Raw genomic sequence first — 18,140 nt, forward strand, 5'->3', positions numbered from 1 at the left:
CTTTCTGGGGTGATGAAAATGTTCTAAAATTTGTTGTGATGATGGTTGTGCAACTGTGAATATACTAAAAACCACTTAACTGTACACTTTAAATGGGTGTATTGTGTGGTATGTGAATTATATCTCAATAAAGCTGTTAAATACATGGTAGGTCAGATAAATAGAAAAATGGAGAACACCACAGGGAAGGTGTGTGGGGAGTGCAGGTAGCGATGAGGTGTGGCTGCTTCAGGTGGGGGGTTAGGGATGGCCCTTAGGGCAGTGACATCTGAGCACGGCTTGGACTGAAGTGGGGACTGAGCAAAGACAGGGGAAGAGCCCTCCAGGTGAGGGAGCAGCAAGTGCAGAGGCCCTGAGGCAGAAACACACTTGGCAGGTAGAAAACTAGTGCAGAGGACAGTGGCTGAAGAGGAGCTGGGGGGAGATCAGAGGGGATGAGATGGGTGAAGGAGCAGGGGCAGGTCCTGCTAGACCTCAAGGGTGTGAGAAGACTGCATCTGATTCTGACAGCGGCTCTGTCTTGCCCCCGTGGACTGTGGCTTAGGCAGAGGCTGAGAACAGCCACAGAGGAGGAGAATGGAAGGGCAAAGAGAGCAGAGACACTTCCCAGGCAGCCAGAGGAGGCCCAAGCTTGAAAGGGGGAAGGCTGGGGAGTGGCCATGGCTCCCCACACTTCACCTAGGGTTGGAAGCAGCTGCTGGAGGCCTGGGGAGGCAGCTCGGTGCTCTGGGCATGTTGAAACACCCAGTGGAATTGGGATTAGTGTCTGGGAACAAAAGCTCACAGTGAATTGTGGGCTTTCTCCCTTTCCTTTTGAGAGTTTGCTGTGGGAACGCCAGCCAGGAAGCCTAAGGCCCATTTGCAGTTCCAGGGCCAAGCCAGAAAAAGCCACCTGGAACCCTCCTAGCTCAGGTAACAGGCACATTCCCCCCTCCACAGGAAGAGCTCACAGGGTCAGCACTGGGCCTCCCTCCTGTTTCTACAGGGCTCTGAACAATCACCTATTGGAAGCCACCACTCCCACGGGAAGAGGCAAGCAGCCTCGCCCTGGCCCACGGCCAGAGGTCACAGCAAGGGTAAAAAAAAAACCACAGCAGCAGCGGCCACCTCCTGAGGGCCTACTGTGTGCGGCCCAGAACTCTTCAACACTGAAAGGTGACTGCTACCACAGCCCACTTTACAGATGGGGAAAGTGAGGCTCAGAAATGCTGCGTAACTCATCTGAAGTCACAGCAGAGCTAGTCTCGACCCCAGCCCCATCTGCGTCCAGACCCTGTGTCACAGCTGGGACACAGCTATGCAGCTGCCTCAGGGCCCACACTGCCTCCCCCTCAGCCCCGGGGCCCCTCTGGTGGGAAGCAGCTGGGCACCCCCAGGCAGGTGGCATGCATGGGGCATGATCCCATGCATGGGGCAGGGATCATGGTGGGAGATGAACACAGGCTCAGGCAGGGTGGGGTAAGGGATGCTTGTGATGGGAGGTGGGAATGAGGATGCCAGGCAGGCAGCCATGAGCCCCAGGTTGGGAGCTGGCCAGGTCAGGACTGAGGACATCTCAGAGCCTTGATCCATTCAGAAACCTTTTATGAAGCCCCCACCAGGTGCCAGGCACTGCTGAAGGCTCTGGGAACACAAGCAATAAACAGAGAAGACAGAAATCCCTGCCTTCAAGGGGCTTATACTCTGGCAGTGGGTGGAAGACAGACAAAACCAGGCAAATGCATACCAGCTAGCCTGGGGTGCAACAGAGAAAAAGGAACCAAGGAAGGAGGCAGACAGTGCCCCAACAATGGGGGCACCAGAGAATGAGGGCCAGAGAAGGTCTTCATGGGAAGGTGACATCTAAGCAAAGACTGAAGCGAGTGGCCACAGATATCTGGGGGAAGAGCAATCCGGGCACGAGGAACAGCAAGTGCAAAGGCCCCGGGGTGGGAATGTCTGTCGCGTTTGAGGAGGAGCTGGGGGCCAGTGTAGCTGGGGCGGAGGATGCCGGGGCAGGCATGGGCCAGGGAGACTGGAGAGGCAGCCTTGGTCCTAAGCTTACAGAGGAGCTGTATGGAGGGGCAGTCCCCACGGTGTCCACGTGTATGCGACTGGTCACAGCAGCAGAAGTTGGGCAAAAGTGGGAAGTAATGAGGACTGCTCCGATGGCACCCAGCAGGCAACGCCAGAAGAGAAGGAGGGGAGGGAGGGCAAGCTGTGCTCCCCAGCAGGGTGGGATGGCCCCATCAGACCTGCAGGAAGGGAACATGCAGAAGGGGATCTACATGACCCCATTTTTATTTAATTTTTTAAAGTGACATATGTAAATGCCCACAAGCACACAGAAAACAGGAGATGCCCACATCAAATTGCAAATGAAGGCCACCTCTGGCCACTGGAGTGTCTGGAGATTGGGGTGAGTAGGGAAGAAAAGAAAGGATGAAGATGGGCATGGTGCCCCTTTTTTCCTTTGTCTTGAACAGAAAGTATCCATTGTGAGCATTTCTTAAAGCACACCTGACCAAAGGAAACCCAATCCCCGGCAGTCCTGGGGACTGCATTGTGGCCCAGGGTGGAAATGCAACTCTGCAGAACGACCCCACCCCAGCACTATGAGACCCTGGAGGGAGGGCCCAGGGTCCTCAGAGCTGAGTGCCACCAGGGCCGGCTGTGACCTCCATGGCCTGTGAGTGCTAAGAGGGCAGGCCTGGGCTGCTGGGTGCTGTGCATGCCAGTACCCAACACATGTCTCCAGTGACCAGAGGCACAACCAGCTGCCTGTCTCAGAAAGAGGAAAGTGTAAAAAAACTAAAATGAGCACCTATGAAGAAAAATTATAAATAAGATGTTTATTAAGAAAACAGGCCAGGCATGGTGACTCATGCCTGTAATCCCAGCACTCTGGGAGGCTAAGACAGGAGACTCACTTGAGGACAGGGGTTGGAGACCAGCCTGGGCAACATAACAAGACCCCACCTTGATTAAAAAAGAAAAAAGAAATAGGACCACGGACCCTCCTTACTGCCCACCACCACCTACTTACCCTAATGTGGCCCAGGTCTGGGCTACAGAACTGAAATTTTAAAATGATAGAAGCAAGGTCCGGAGAAGGAGATTGTTTTAACCCAGAATCCTGGACTTCAGGCTCCCTGGCCAAGCAGCTTATTCACACTGGTATGAAGGGATAATGGCCAGAAGGCAGGCAGGGAGCTCAGAGCAGGTCTGACCAAAGGTGGGGTGGAAGGGTTATCAGAGACTCTTTCTTCGTTTCTGTCCAAGAGTTGTTTCCATAATTGAAATTTAAATTGAAAATGAGAAAAGGGTATGGGTTAGGAAGGCTGCTTATAAGCAAAAGGGATCTGAACCCTCAGCCACCTGGTTCAAGGCCTGGGTCCTCCCAAGTTACCAAGTGGAGTCACCCCATGCAGTACATGGGACCTGCTGGCAGGGCTGGCCGCCCGCCTGGGAAGAGACAGTGATGAACGGCCCTCCCGGGCCTGGGGTTGCAGGGCGTGCTTCCCCCGCTCCCCGCTGCCAGGAACAGGTAATTACAGAGACTGGGTTTCATTTTTAGCTTTAAGATATACAATTAGACATGTAAATCTCAGCAAGGCGGGACAAGCCCTGCACCCACCACAGCCACTGTGGCCATCCCAGCAGTGGAATTTGGCTATTTCTGGGCTGTCTGGAAACAGCAGAACACCCCACCAGGCTGGTGTCCTTGGCCCAGCAGAACTCTCCAGGAGCTCTCCCAGCCCTGGGAAGGCTGCCCAGTGACCTGACCACCCTCTGACCCATCCCAGGAAGCACGCCAGGTGGTGTGGGGAGACACACAGACCTGTATCCCAAATCGGACCGGGACCTCCACAATGCATCCACGAGGACTGACTGTGGTGCCGGCTCGGGGTGCGGGACACAATGCGAGCAACCTCCTGGAGGAGTCCCTGGTTGAGAGGGGGAGACGGCCATTACACAGGAATGACTGCAGTCACCGCCAGTCTCCCAGGAAGGAGAAGGAGCTACAAGGGCGGTGAACAGAGCAGGCTGGGGGCAGGAGGCCGAGAAGCCTCCCTGGATAGTGACATCAGAGCCGGGACCTCAGGCAGTCAGCTGGGTGAAGACCTGGGGGGAAGGAGGTCCCAGGCAGTGGGAACAGCACAGGGAAGACCCAGAAGGAGGGAGGTGGCTCCCAGGAAGAGCCTCCCTGGAAAGCCGGGGGGTGGATGAGGCTGGTGACGAGGAGAGGCCACCAAGTGACTCGGGGAGCCCCATCTTGGTGAGCCTCAACTTCCTCATCTGTAAAAGGACGACTTACCCATCACATGGGGCTGTTGGGGTGACTCTGTGGTCCCACAGCACCTCTCTCCACTGCTCAACAGAGGGAGGATGCAGAGAATTCTGCCTCTGTGGTCCCGAGGTCAGTTCGCTGCCACATCCCCAGCACCTGGCCCCAGCCTGATCCAGCATTACTGCCCAGTAGGTGCAACAAGAAGATCCCAGAGCCTTGACAACCCCAGGTCTCCATCACCAGGGTGACGTGGGGCCAGGTGCCGTAGGGCTGTGGGAGCCACCTCCTGGCCTCAGGCTGCCAGGCTCACAGGATTCCTACAGACAGGGGTCAAATGGGCCCATCAGGGGCTCTCCTCAGAGTTGGAGCAAAAGTGCATGCCTGGCTGGCAACCCTCACAGGAGCAGAAAGTCAGGAAAAAGGAATCCGGGTATCACTGGGGCAGTCCAACCTCTGTGACAGGGCTCCAGCCTGACCCACGTCCACTCTCAACACTTCGCCTTCCCAGTTCCAGTACTCAGAGACACACATCTCACCTCCACTGGGTGCCCAGCACGAAGCCCTGCGGGGGCAGGTGCTCAAACTCACAAGCAAAGAGAGGGGTGAGGTCCAGCAGGACAGGGGTTCTCAGATAAAAATATCCCTGGCAGCCAGGCGCGGTGGCTCACACCTGTAATCCCAGCACTTTGGGAGGCTGAGGCGGGTGGATCACCTGAGGTCAGGAGTTCGGGACCAGCCTGGACAACACGGTGAAACATGAAACCCCACCTCTACTAAAAATACAAAAATTAGCCAGATGTGGTGGCGGGCACCTGTAATCCCAGCTACTTGTGAGGCTGAGGCAGGAGAATCTCTTGAACCCGGGAGGCGGAGGTTGCAGTGAGCCAAGATCGCGCCATCGCACTCCAGCCTGGGTGACAGAGCAAGACTGTCTCAAAAAAAAAAAAAAAAAAAAAAAAAAAAAAAAAAAAAAACCAAAAACCAAAAAACATTCCACTGGCTCATGACAAACGAAGATTCCCAGTGAGCCCTTCCAGAACCACAGACTCCGCAGGACAGGGTTTCTTTTTGTGAGGGGCTGTCCTGCGCACTGTGGGATGTTCAGCAGCACCCTGCCAGTAGCACAGCCCCAGGTGTGACAACCGAAAATGTCTCCAGAGATCGCCAAATCAACCCTGGTTGAGAGCCACTGCTGCAGGTCTTAAAAGGGCATTTTAAACGAGCTCCCAGGTGATTCTGATGCAGGGAGCTGGGCACCCAGCTAAGAGACAGTAGCGCTCTGACAGGCGTGTGGAACTCCAGGTTCCAGCTGTGCTCCTGGGTTCCTGACAGTGCTGGTCCCCCAGAACAGGGCCCCATCACTTAAGTCCATCACTTAAGTCCCTTGCCTGCCATCCGTCTGCCCCTCCCTCAGCCACGCTCACTCCCACCCTGCCTGCTCTCCCAGCCCTTGGCCTGGTTCCTGGAGGAGTGAGCGGCAAAGTGATGCAATCAGAGTTCCCGGCTGATGAAACCCAGCCCAGGCCAGAGAGCGAGAGTCTAATAAGGAAACAATTTAAATCGACAACATCTGCCTTGTGCTTCCCCGAAGAGAAGAGAATACAGCCGCCTGGGAGGAGCCTGCCCTGGGGACCAGCCAAGGCGTCCGTCCAGGGGCTGAAGAGCCAGCGTGGCAGCACAGCAGCGTCTGGCTCCTGCCAGGGGTTCAGGGGGAGCAGCTCACAGTCCTAGCATGGCCAGGACCTCCTCCTGCAAGGAGGCAGCAAGAAGTTTCTGGAAGCCAAGCCACTCTGGCCAACACTGGAGCACTCAGAGCAGCCACCTGGCAGCCCCAAAACGCTCTTTGTTCCCCTGCCAAAGACACCCCTATTAGCAGTGGCCTGGGATTGGCGGGTGGGCCGGGAGGGAGGCTGGCATCATAAGTGACCCAAAGAAGCACAGAGTGGACAGCCCACTGGGGCTTCAGAAACTCCAAGATGGAAAAGGGGCAGGGCATGGGCACAGGGTGGAGGGAAGCCAGGTCATCCAGGCTTGCTGGGAAAGCGTCAGGGTTAGGTGAAAGGATCCCAGAGTCAGACACATCTAGGTCTGAATCCTGCTGCTCACCGGTCAAGCAGCAACCTTGAGACTGATCTTCAAGGGAAACCCCACACAAGCTGGGCATGGTGGTGCGTACCTGTAATCTCAGCTACTCAAGAGACTGGGACTGGAGGACTGCTTGAGCCCGGGAGTTCAAGACCAGCCTGGGCAACATAGCAAAACCCCATCTCCGAAAAAAAAAAAAAAAAGCCCATGCAGGCAGGTGTGGGCATCCCTATTTTACAAGCACAGGCAAGTGGCTGCCCTGCTCTGTCCTCTGTACCCAGAGTCAGGTTGTGCAGATGCCTTGAGCTACTGCCCAGGCAAACGCCCTGTTAACGCCATTCTCCAGATGCAAATGATCACTCTCTCTTGCTCTTACAGCCCAAGAGGCGAGCAGGCCATTGAAGGGACCCAAAGTAAACTACTGGCTTTAACCAAGAATCTCATGCACCTGGGCAAAGATGCCCCTGGCACCCAGCATGGCCCAGCCTGGCTGTTTCCCAGGCACCCTCCTGTGTGCCAAGTAATTCTCAAGCATCATCTTCCTGCTTCTACTTCACAGATCAGGAAACAGACACTTGGGGAGTCCAGGCAGTCGCTGCAGGTCACATGGGAGGTAACGGGTGGTCTGTACTCCCAGGCCCCCCTTCAGGAACCCACCCCCACTTCCTGATCTTGCAGAACCCCTGGGAAATCTGCCAAGGCAGTACAGCCATTCTCCAGAGATTGTGGCATGGGCATCTGTCACGCTAGCGACCCTGGACCCCATGCTGTGTGGGCTGACCCTTCACCTTGAGTCTCAATCCCAGGGAAGAGGCTTTGAGACCAGGTTTATGCCAAGGGAGGGATGGTCACTGGGTCAAAGTGTGGGGCCAATGGGGTGTGGCTCTGAGCCAAATCCGTCAAGACCTGCTGGTGTTGGGGACCATGTTAGGAAGTCCCAAGTTAGGAGGGAGAAGTGGGAAAAGGCCCCCCAGCAGGCAAGCTCTGCAGAACTTCCAAAGATGAGCGCTCCATCTCCTGAACACTTGCTGCATGTCAGGCACCGAGCCAAGCACTCTCCCTGACCCCAAGAATCCACACCCAGCCCTAGGAGATGGGTGCTGTCAGCCCATTACCCCATCGCAGCCAAGGAAATTGAGGCCCCAGAGCAGGGAAGTCACCTGCCCAAGGTCTACTGGCCGGGAGAGGGCTGTGACCTAAAGCCAGGGCTGTCTGACCCCAGAGCTGCAAGCTGGGCTCCCATGCCAGGGTTGGACCCAAGACCCCAGCAGTTCAAAGCAAGAAGACACAATGGGTGTCACACTGGGCTGTGGTAGCAGCTTCCCCTCCCCAGGATCCATGCCCACAGCAAACACAGAGCTTCGGGGCTGGCTCTGCTCGGGGGACTTCCCTTCCTGCACCCACCAGTCTCCCAGCAGGCCTGCCCACAAGGCATTGGGAAGCAGAGACTGGGGCTCAAAGCCAGGCTCTGGTACCCACCGGACACTTGACTTTTCTGGGCCTCAGTCGCAGTTCTGTCCCTGTCTCACAGAGTTGCTACAGGACCTGGCACAGTGGACACCCATGCTGAATGGGGGCAGGGACTAGACCTCCAGAAGTAACTACTGACAGGCACCTGGAGTTCCCCTCTGAGGCAGATGGTCCAGCAGGAAAAGCTGGTCACACAGTCCCCTACCTTCTTCTCCACCCCAGGACCATAGATCAGGATATTTCCCCAGGTCTTTTTTTTTTTTTTTTTTTTTTTGAGGTAAGGGGTCTCACTATGTTTCCTGGGCTCAAATGATCCTCCTGCCTCAGCCTCCTAAGTAGCTGGGATTACAGGTGTGAGCCACCACGCCTGGCTTCCTTAGATCTTAAACCTGGCTGGGACACCCTGGTTGGGACATCCAGGGAGGGGGACCAGCAGGTGGCCTAGGCATGCCTGAGCCACTCCTGGCTGACTCATGCCTGGGTGGTGGTTGATTCACCCAAGGAGGAAGGGGAGAGAGAGGAGGAACGGATTCCCATCCCCAGGGCCTGGCCCCTCGAATGACTAGACTCAAGTCATGGGGCTGCCTCTGTCCTCTCTATCCTTACCCTCCATCCCAGCCCATCCCAAGGGCACCCCCTACACACTGCAAGTTTCCTCTTCTAGGCCTGGGTCTTAGGTTCCTGTCTCCCAGAGTGTGGAGGTCCTGGAGGAAGGGCCTCTGTTTTGCTCACTGCTGCTTCCCCTGTCGCAAGGATGGTGCTGGGCACACGGTAGGTCAGTAACTAACTAATGACTAAATGAGCGCCCTTCATACCCCTGCTCCCGTAAGGGCTCCCCTAAGCCTTCTTGTGCCACCTTCATGGAAGGGTAGGGCCATATTCTCTGCAGAGTGTAAGGGGCCAGGGGTCACTGCCATTGCTGGCTCTGCCACCCAGCTGTTCCTACTGATCCATACAGTATGCCCTAAGGTTCCCTGGACTTCTGAGGTGACCAGGAGATAATTGTGAATCGCTCCGCCAAAGTCACTTTTCCTCCCAGCCCTGCACAGACTCAGACCTGTTTTCCTAGCTGTCTTCATCAGTTCCCCAAGATTCCAACCACCATGGGCTAAGCATCAGGCTGGAGTGTGAGGCCCTGACTCACTGGTCTCCACCTCCTCCCCAGACATGTGATTCCCTGAAGACTCACAGACCAATCCTGGACCAATCTTTGCCTCTGTCATTCACGGACTCCACACATATGTACTGAGCACTTACTACACGTCAGGCCTGTGCTAGACACGGGGGACACATCCCAAGAGCCTGGCCTTGGTCTTGCCTGTATCCAAGATGGGTGTGGCCAACATAAAAAACCCTTAGGGGCTGCTACACCCCAAGGTCAGGCCTTCTCCTGGGATTTGGGGAGAGCACAGTCAAATGCCCGTCGGCAAAGACAGGGTTCAGGGCAGAGCAGGCGGAGTGGCAATTCTCCCCCACCCCACTGTGCTCAGCACTCCTCTGAGAGACGAATGTGCCTAACAGTCTCTCCTGGCTCTGGGCCCAGGCAGGGACGGTTGTCTTGGCCAAGGCAATGGCCTGGTTCTAATCACAAATGTTTGCTGGATAGGTGAACCACAGGAAGAGAGAAGAGAAACAATTACAGGGACAGAGGGAGGAATATGGACCTTTCCTTTCTGCTCTCACCCCTAGGGCCCTTACAATAACTGCCCTGGATGAATACCAATGCTGCCAGCCTTTACTGAGCCCGTACTCCATGCCAGAGACTACGATGGGCACATAATAGGCATTAACCCATTTCACCCAAGCATCAAGGAGGACCTCATTATCCCATTTCACAGATGAGGAAAGCAAAGCTCGGGGAGATCTAGTTCTCTGGCAGCCTCAGGAGCCTGCCCTCCCCATGAACAGCCAAGCCCCACAGCCCAGCAGGCCCTGCTGGAGTTTGCAAGAGGCAGAAGGAAAATCTCCAGCCAGAGAAGAGTTACATCTCTGTTTGCAGCTGCCAGGATGAGTTACTGCCTCATAAACAAGACTGATGCTTATCAGGTCAGAACGGTTCAGGCTGCCTTACCAGAAAGACCAAGGAAAACACCCAGGGATCTCCTCCAGGCTTCCGGGCACCCAAAAAGGTGCCTCATTTTTGTCTAGAGGACTCAGGCATCCACCCAGCACCACCCAAAAGTGTGGGGCATCTCGAGTCTTGTTTCTGGCACAGAGACGTGCAGAACTCACAGATACTCAGAGAGAACATACCCATGAAACCAGCCCCCAAGCAGCAGAATATTACAGGCCCCCAGAAGGTCCTTCCAGACATGACTCCCCTCAGCAAAGACAGCACTGCCCTGACTTGCATCAGAAAGGTTTTTGAACTCTGTATAAATGGCATCATACACTTTTTTTTTTTTGAGACAGAATCTTGCGCTGTCGCCTACGCTGGAGTGCAGTGGCGCGATCTCCGCACGCTGCAGCCTCTGCCTCCCGAGTTCAAGTGATTCTCCTGCCTCCTCAGCCTCCTGAGTAGCTGGGATTACAGGCATGCGCCACCATGCCCGGCTAATTTTTTTGTATTTTTAGTAGAGACGGGGTTTCACCTTGTTGGTCAGGCTGGTCTTGAACTCTTGACCTCAAATGATCCTCCTGCCTCGGCCTCCCAAAGTGCTGGGATTACAGGAGTGAGCCACTGCGCCTGGCCGCATCATACACTCTTTTGTCTCCGGCTTTCTTTGCTCAACGTTGTTTGTCAGACTGCTTCCTGCTGTGAGTGGCAGCAGCTTGTTCATCCTCAGCACTGCACAGTATGCCTCGGGTTTTGTTTTGAGTAATTCCCTGATGACAGAGGTTGAAACCTGCCCTTCTCAGCTGACAGTCACCTGCCCTTCTGCAACCTGCAGTCCCAAGCAATCAACCCCATGGCTGCCCTTGGTGGTTCTAAACTACAAATGTGACTCGGATTCACAGCTTCTGTGGCTCCCACCCCTCCAGGTACAGTCCAAACCCCTCCCCTTGACTCCTCCTGACTTCAAGCTCCCTCCCAGGCCAGCCAGCCCCTCTTTCCCGCTCAGCACGCTCGCCCTTGCCGTGCCTCTGCCGCAGGCTGCTCTTCTCCCACCCGCCACCTGCTAATCCTACTCATGCCCCAGAACCGAGCCCAGCATCACCTCCTTAGGGCCTGTGGCCATAGCACTGATTGGATTTGCGCACCTCCCCTCACTGGAGGGCCCTGCAGGGGTGGGGGCCACATCTCCAGGGCCCAGCCTGAGCCCCACACCAGAAGGAGCCCAAGAATTTGTCTGGGGGGAGCCTAGGGGGAGCAGGGAGCCACAGGTATGCTGCCCCACACCTGCAGAGTCTGCTCAGAGAGGAAGTGGTGAGAGGTAAGAGTGTTTAGCACCCAGACTTCCGCCCTCCCTGAGCACCAGCCGGCCACCTCCTCTCTGGGCAGGGTTAGTCTGTTTTTAGTTGCCAGGTGCCTGGCCCTGTGCTGGGTAGGGAGCCCTCCTGAGCAGCCCTGTTTGATGGAGGAGGAAGCTGAGGCTGAGAGGACAAGGCCTTTAGCCACAGTCACAGGGAAATCAAGCAACTGCCAAGGTCCAATTGCCGTGCTTGGAGTCAGGCCCCAGCCCCCTCCTCCTTTCCATTCTGCTTGCTATGAGCATCCCTGCCCCATGCAGAGGAGCCCACCCCACCCAAACCATTGATGCCCCCAGCTGCCTCTCAATTGCAGCCTCTGAGCCCGTGGAGGCACCCAGCTGTCCCGTATGCAAGTGAGGGCTGCTCCTGACACAGACTGACACCTCGGGCCTGAAGAGGGAATGCGGGGCGGGGGGGCGGGTCCAGCAGCTGGCAGCAGCCACAGTGAGGTCCCACACCAGCACTCACACTGGTTCAGAGCCAGGGGAGAAAAGCCCCGGCACCAGGACAGTGCCAACCCACAGCAGGAAGCCCCAAGACCAAGATGCAATGATGCAAGGACTACTCCTGCCCACGAAGGGCCCACAGTCTGCGGAATGAGCTAGAGATGTGGACAGAGACTGCAGTGCCTTGAGATGAGGGCCCACAGAGTGTACAAGGCCAAAAGAGGCCAGGGAGGCTTCCTGGAGGAGGTGACTCTTAGGCTGAGAAGAAATTCAGCGAGCAGAGAAGTGGGGGAAGGGAACTTGAGGAAGAGGCAACTACAGGGAACAAAGGCACAGAAACCAGAAGGGCGAGGAGCAGTGGAAGCCGACGAGGCCAGCCTGATGCCGGGAGTGGCGGGGCCTCCCATGTACTGAGCGGCCGCTGTCTCTCTCACCCACACTCCAGCCCACCAGCAGCCTGACAGCCAGTGCCCTCTGCCTCCGTGGAGGCTGTCTTCTGCCTGCCAGAGCAGGTCCCAGAGCCGGCTGTGCAGAGGGCCTCTTCCCTCACCAAAAGCCCCTCAGCCCAGCCTGGGTCCACCAAGCAGGGACGCTCCAACTCACCCTGGCTCACAGCCAAGCATCTCCCTGTGGGGCAAGTTCAAGCCAACAAGGGACAAGAAAACACGCAGACCCCACTGGGGACCCTGAGCTCAGACACCCGGTGTGCTCCTCACTCACCCCCACCCTGCCCCGAGTGCAAAGTGTCCTCTCCCAGCAGCACCTCATCAGTCCTGGCCCACACAGGAGTGCCAGCGGCCATGCAGGGGCACTGACCCTGCCATAACTCTGCCTGGACACAGGAGGACAGACTGTAAGCACATGCAGCGTGTGCACTGTATGCCAGGAGCCGCGCTGGGCGTCTGACAGACATTATCTCACCATGTCCTCTGAGAGCACCAGGAGGCAGGCACCGGCAGCCCTGCTTCACAGGGGCGGTCACTGAGGCTTGGAGGCCAAGTCCCTTGCCCAAGGTCACACAGGCAGCAAGTAGCAGAAGCAGGATGGAAATGTCTCCTGCAGGCCTGGAGGCAGGGAGGCAACAAGGCAGAACAAGCAGGCAGAAAGGCCTCTGTCAGAGCTCTTCCTCCCAGCCACCCAAATCAGCTGGCTGGCAGGACAGAGGACCGGGCAGGGTGGGGGTGCGGGCAGCTTCAGGCCTGCATGTGAGAGCTCTTCCAAGCCCTGGGTGCCAAAAGAGGCTCAGGGCAAAGACCCAGGGTTTGCCACCACAGCCCTATGCAGACACAGAAGCCAGCCATAGGTTGGCAGCTTTGGGCCTTACTGAGCCACGGACAGCAGTCTGACCTCATAGTGGGTGGCTGACAGGTCCCAGGGCATATCTGGAGTCCCCATAATCCAAAGCACTTGCCAGGGAGGTGGATAATACAGAGCAACACCCCCTCCCCACCCTACATTAGTTCTGGGTCTCTTTCTAAGCAAATCTGGTGTCTCTCCCCTGCTTAAACCTTCCTGGGGCTCCCTGGTAAGATGAGGATACATCTAAACTGGTTGTGCTTAAGATATTACTGCCTGTCCCCAGCAGCAAGCGAGTGACTGCAGGGTCACTGCATAGCAGTCACCAGATGCCAGACACAGAGTCAGTCGGCTCCTGACCCCTTAGCAGACATGCCAGCAGCCATCCCAAGGTGCAAGTAGGGCCTCCCAAATGCAAGTCAGGACTCCCAGGTACTGAACAAGCAGGGTTCAAAGGGACTCAGGGCCCCCCTGCCACCCCTGGACAAGCAGGGCCCTCAGGCACATAATGTGGTTGCTGCTAAGAGCCTCTGGCCAGAGCAGCTCCCAGGACGGAGCTTGAAGCAAGGAACAGGCCTCAGGAAATAGCCTGGCTCCACGAAGCCAGATCATCTCGGGTCAGGGCTGCTGCCAGGCTGGCAGGTAGGCAGCAGGGGCTGCCAGGGTGGCACCTGCCAACAGTGCAGCCAGCTGGCAGCAAAGGCTAGGTCCAAGGAGCAGACACCAAGGCCAGGCACAGTCACGGCAGCTTCAGGCTTCCCCGCAGCCACCAGCAGTATAGTCTGACCTCGCGGAACCAGCAGATGGCCTGGTACCACAGCCTCGCTGCCCGGGCTGGCCTCTGAGGCCACCCAGCCCTGCCCACTTCTGCCAGCAGGGCTTCTCTCCACAGGCCACTCTGCCTCCTTGTGCCCCCGACCTGCACCTGGAAGGCCTTCTACGGCACCCAGGGGACCAGGCTGGCCTAAGGCAGCACACATCAGACATCCAAGGCATGCTGCGGGGTCAGGGGAACTCAAGTGGGCAGCCCACGTCAAGAGGCAGCTGTAAAGCCCCTTGAGCCAAACGCCGCCACACAGCACTGCTGCCAGATCTTCCAACTTAAAACAAATGGGAAATCTGATTTTCATGCAATCACAAATGACTGGCGCACTGCAGGGGTCGACAAACCCTGGCTACATTTGGCCACTGTGCCCCCATCCATCTCCCGGCACTTACTAAGTACTAGGCATGATGCCAGCCCTGCGGTTGAGGAAGCCCACTTGCCCACTCTGCCTGCCAGCCCTCTCTCCAATCTGCCTGCTCCTCTGCCTGCTACCGCCAGGCCAGCAGTACCTGCCAGCCAACTCCCATTGTCCTTCCCTGGGTGCAGGTCAGGCCCCTGAACCTTCTCCACCTGGCAACCAGGCCACGTGGCTCCACTGCCCCTGGGTAGGTACTCCTGAGGCCAGGAACACACCAGCTCGGCCACCCATTACCCTAACTTACTCCATCCCCTCCTCCACCCTCCCCATACCCCAGCTCCTCGCCTGACCCTGGGAACAAGTGCCTGTTGGCCAGGGGCTTCTATGCCAAAGGCTTATCCCGATCTCTTTCCTGTCCAATTCCCCTCTGCCTTCAAGGCTCCCAGGAAGGGTCACTTCTTCCAGGAAGCTCTCCCTAACTCAGTGATGTGCCACATGAGGACAAGGACCATGCCCAGCCTGAGTTAAGTGCTCAATCCACATCTGTCAAATAAATGGACAGACACCTGGACGGAAATGCCTCCCCAGCTGCCTGCCGGGATCCAGTGGGATGCAGAAGGATATGCCCTAGATCTGCCTTGCTCTGAAGCTTTCACGATGCCCACCAAGCTCACTGCCCCCACCTAGCTGGCAGCTCCATGGAAACAGGGCTGTCTAATCATGATCACCTCCAGAAGCCCAAGACAAAGCGTGTGTTCAGGGAAAGTGGAACAGGCACACGTGCCCACCAGCCTCCTCTCCCTCTCCAGTGTGCTCAGCCTCCAGAGCTCCTGCTCTGTGAAGGAAAGTGGGTGCCCTGCCAATCTAAGAATCCCATCGAACCTCCACGGCCCCTGCTCCACTCAGCTCCAAGGGACAGAATTCTGTGTCCATCTCCATCCTGCCCTCCTGGAGCTCCACACTGTGCCTGTGAGCAGGCCTCCCCCGGAGGTGGATTCAACCAGCATTCCACAGCCTTTTCCTAGAAGGGCGGGTGAGGGACCAGGGGGGTGGAGGCTCTGGCCACAAGTGTGTGGAGTGTGAGGAAAGACCCGGCCAGGCTGGCCTCCCCAGGGACTGGGCCTGGCGTGGGGCCCCCAGCGCGGCACTGACCTGGCCAAGGCCTTCTTCATACTAAAAGAACCCCACCTGTGCCTCCGGGGCCACCATCCCAGCCGTGCCATGGAAGGCAGGCAGCATCTTTGTGGTGGGCGGCCACGCGCCCACCAAAGACTGCCCAAATCAAAAGCCCACTGAGGATTCAAGCCTACCAAAGAAGAAAGGCCAGAAGAGGGGCCTCCAAGTCACAGGCTGTCTGTTTCTTGGACAGTCTGGCACCCAAGTACAGAGCACAAGAGGACCCCAGAAGGACCCCCTCCCCGTTCTGGCCCAGCCTGCCTCCTTCATACAGAGAGTTACTAAGACACAGGGGACAGAGGTCAGAGCCAGGCCCAAGTCCACTCAGCTACGCCATCAGCTCCTCCTGTAAGTGGCCGTAGCAAGTCACTTCTCTGCCGCAGGCCTCAGTTTCCCCATCTGTTGGCTGAGAAAATGCTCTCTGCCCATCTCCTCCAGAAAATACTTGCTATGAGGTAAGTCAGTGCCTCCCTTGTACTCCTCTCCCCTGGCACCACCAGCCACGTGCATGAGGCAGACACAGGACTGGTGCCAGCTGCAAGCAGAGATCTCTTGGGTGTTTGAGATTCTTCCTGCCCAAGGGCTGCCTTGGACAGGATGGCAGCTCCCCGACTCACCAGACTTGGCTAGGACCTCTTCCTCCCTCCCGGGACCCCTGGGAAAGCCTCCCAGGCCCCCCTATGTGGATACATATGCCTGGGAGAATACAAATGCTCACCATGCCCCAGTGCCAGCCCAGGCCTGGCCCCAAATCCACAGCAGTGACTTCAGCCCCACCCCCTGAAAGGTCCTGGGGACACTTTTCCTTGGACCTCACGAAACCTACCATGGTGCCTCCTAACTGCTCAGCTCTGGACTTTCCTGAACTACCCAATCCATGGAATGGAGCCTTTCTCAAAGGTCTGGGGCTGTCACACGGGTCTGCAGCTGCTTCCGGCCCACTGCCATCAAGGCAAGACAGGGCCTTAGAGCTGGACCTGCCCAAATTCAAATCCCATCTCTGCAATTTCAAGCTGAGTAGCACAGACCCAGTCACTTCAGTTGTCCTGACCCCAGCTTCCTCACCTGTAAGTGGGGTAATGCCATCAGCCCATGGGGTAGGTGACTGCAGGGCCTCAAATAATCATCTATTTGAGGGGCTAGGCAAGCCCCTAGCATACAGAATGCGTACAATCAAGGGCGCTTTATAGAACGATAAAAGTGTTAATTTCCGAATTGCCATTTACCACCTGGGTGACCTCTGGCACTCACCTCTCTGGCTTTGGTGCCTCTCTGGATGGCTGAGAGGATTCATGGAAATACCAGTTGCAAAACAGTCAGCACCCTGCCTGGCACAGAGTGCAGGAGCTCAGAGCACAGCAGCGTGAGGATCGCTGCTCTCAAGGAGGCCTCAGGAAGATGAGGCTGAGCAACAGCCTGATGCACCACCTGCTCTACCTGCTCAAATTGGGTCAGGCGAGCGGTGTACCCAGCTGTTGCCAAGGCACCCAGCACACAGGGAAATACTCCAGCCAGGACGGCAGGTGCTGTAGGGGTGGGGCCTTGGGCCTGCTTCACTGACACCACCCATGCTGCCACCACCAGGTCTCTGGGCCATCTCGGGGGTTCCTGGGGGTGGGGGAAATATGCTATTGATCTGGGTCCAGGATCTAACCAGGTCCAGTTCCCCCAGACCCTACTCCAACCTGGAAACAATGGGGCCTTTGCTGTCTAGAGGGGCAGACTGTGAAGCGGGGTTCCCAGGCTGCAGTCCAGGGTGGGTGGGGTACGGGTGGAGGGGGTAGGAACCCAGGAACCCAGGAACCCCCGTCTACTGGGCAAAAACACAGCAAACACCAAAGCAGCTCTAAACTGGCCTCAGGTTCCAATGTCACTGTCTGCTGTCTCCAGCCACACCTACCCAACAGCAAACAGGTGCCTGGTGGCCACTAACTGCCCAGCTTTGCGAGAGCTCAGTGTCAGTTCCTCCCTCCTCAGCCCCATTCAGGTTGCATGCAGGACAGGGCTGGGAAATGCTTTGGGCTTAGCTGGATTCAGGCAATTTAAGGCCCCTTGCCAGGAGGAAGAAGGGAAAACAGAGGTGAAATCCAGACCCTGTGGACTAAGACCTGGAACTTCCCACACTTTCCCTAATGGGGAAGCAGGTTTGGGCAATGGAAAGGCCAACAGGTAGGGAGACAGTGGCTCCAGGGCCTGGAGGCCAGGCAAGTCCTCAGCCTGGGGCTCAAAATTTATATTCCTCAATGGGATCCAAGACCCTGTCCCCACTCCCAGCTCACACACAGGCCCCCTGCTGACTGGATCTGGTCCCCACCCCACCGCCCACCAAAGACCCGGAAAGGGCTGGGCCCCAGCCTGGGCCCCTCTACCAACAGAAGCGATAACTGCTGCGGCAGTGTGCCTGGGCGAGACATAACACACAGATTATCTGTACTCTAGAGGTGGGTATGACATCCCCATTTTACAGAAAAGGAAACTGAAGTTCAGAGGCACAAAAGGGTTGAATGCAGGCTCCACTGAATCAACTCAGGCAAATCATTTCCTCTCAGAGCCTGTTTCCACCTCTCTAACATGGGGATAATAATCCTATGGGGCCCCCACCTCCACTCCTGCTCCATGACACAGTCCAGGGGTTAAGTGAGAGGTGCTAGTAAAACAGGGAGCCCAGCACCAATGGTAGCTGGTTCTTGCAATCAGAGAGCTTAGGTAACTTGCCCAATGTCACTCAGCCAGTGAGTAGCCAACTCCAGGCCCTAGCTGTGAGCACAGCCTTCTCTCTGAAACCTCAGACTGCTGTGTGGG

General features: G+C 56.8%; 1 protein-coding gene across 1 annotated transcript in view, besides 8 other annotated features; it reads right to left on the bottom strand.

Moving 5' to 3' along the window:
* The window catches only part of EEIG1 (estrogen-induced osteoclastogenesis regulator 1), a 40,408-nt gene that overhangs the window by 19,320 nt on the left and 2,948 nt on the right, over window positions 1-18,140 (bottom strand). The window lies entirely within an intron of this gene.
* Window positions 915-1,523: an enhancer, noted in NCBI's record as "H3K27ac-H3K4me1 hESC enhancer chr9:130723095-130723703 (GRCh37/hg19 assembly coordinates)". NCBI's record gives its function as "activates a minimal SCP1, AML or CMV promoter by ChIP-STARR-seq in primed H9 embryonic stem cells {active_cell/tissue: H9 hESC(primed)}" and the evidence as "EXISTENCE:reporter gene assay evidence [ECO:0000049][PMID:30033119]".
* Window positions 1,568-2,404: an enhancer, noted in NCBI's record as "H3K4me1 hESC enhancer chr9:130723748-130724584 (GRCh37/hg19 assembly coordinates)". NCBI's record gives its function as "activates a minimal SCP1, AML or CMV promoter by ChIP-STARR-seq in naive and primed H9 embryonic stem cells {active_cell/tissue: H9 hESC(naive and primed)}" and the evidence as "EXISTENCE:reporter gene assay evidence [ECO:0000049][PMID:30033119]".
* Window positions 2,405-3,240: an enhancer, noted in NCBI's record as "H3K4me1 hESC enhancer chr9:130724585-130725420 (GRCh37/hg19 assembly coordinates)". NCBI's record gives its function as "activates a minimal SCP1, AML or CMV promoter by ChIP-STARR-seq in naive H9 embryonic stem cells {active_cell/tissue: H9 hESC(naive)}" and the evidence as "EXISTENCE:reporter gene assay evidence [ECO:0000049][PMID:30033119]".
* Window positions 5,629-5,923: an enhancer, noted in NCBI's record as "tiled region #6856; HepG2 Activating DNase unmatched - State 5:Enh, and K562 Activating DNase unmatched - State 5:Enh". NCBI's record gives its function as "activates a minimal TATA promoter and a strong SV40 promoter by Sharpr-MPRA in HepG2 and K562 cells {active_cell/tissue: HepG2 | K562}" and the evidence as "EXISTENCE:reporter gene assay evidence [ECO:0000049][PMID:27701403]".
* Window positions 8,759-9,287: an enhancer, noted in NCBI's record as "H3K27ac-H3K4me1 hESC enhancer chr9:130730939-130731467 (GRCh37/hg19 assembly coordinates)". NCBI's record gives its function as "activates a minimal SCP1, AML or CMV promoter by ChIP-STARR-seq in primed H9 embryonic stem cells {active_cell/tissue: H9 hESC(primed)}" and the evidence as "EXISTENCE:reporter gene assay evidence [ECO:0000049][PMID:30033119]".
* Window positions 13,576-14,318: an enhancer, noted in NCBI's record as "H3K27ac-H3K4me1 hESC enhancer chr9:130735756-130736498 (GRCh37/hg19 assembly coordinates)". NCBI's record gives its function as "activates a minimal SCP1, AML or CMV promoter by ChIP-STARR-seq in primed H9 embryonic stem cells {active_cell/tissue: H9 hESC(primed)}" and the evidence as "EXISTENCE:reporter gene assay evidence [ECO:0000049][PMID:30033119]".
* Window positions 14,319-15,062: an enhancer, noted in NCBI's record as "H3K27ac-H3K4me1 hESC enhancer chr9:130736499-130737242 (GRCh37/hg19 assembly coordinates)". NCBI's record gives its function as "activates a minimal SCP1, AML or CMV promoter by ChIP-STARR-seq in primed H9 embryonic stem cells {active_cell/tissue: H9 hESC(primed)}" and the evidence as "EXISTENCE:reporter gene assay evidence [ECO:0000049][PMID:30033119]".
* Window positions 17,493-17,582: an enhancer, noted in NCBI's record as "active region_29063". NCBI's record gives its function as "activates an Ori minimal core promoter by ATAC-STARR-seq in GM12878 lymphoblastoid cells {active_cell/tissue: GM12878}" and the evidence as "EXISTENCE:reporter gene assay evidence [ECO:0000049][PMID:35858748]".

This window comes from Homo sapiens, chromosome 9, assembly GCF_000001405.40.
Source record: "Homo sapiens chromosome 9, GRCh38.p14 Primary Assembly".
Taxonomy (NCBI): domain Eukaryota; kingdom Metazoa; phylum Chordata; class Mammalia; order Primates; family Hominidae; genus Homo; species Homo sapiens.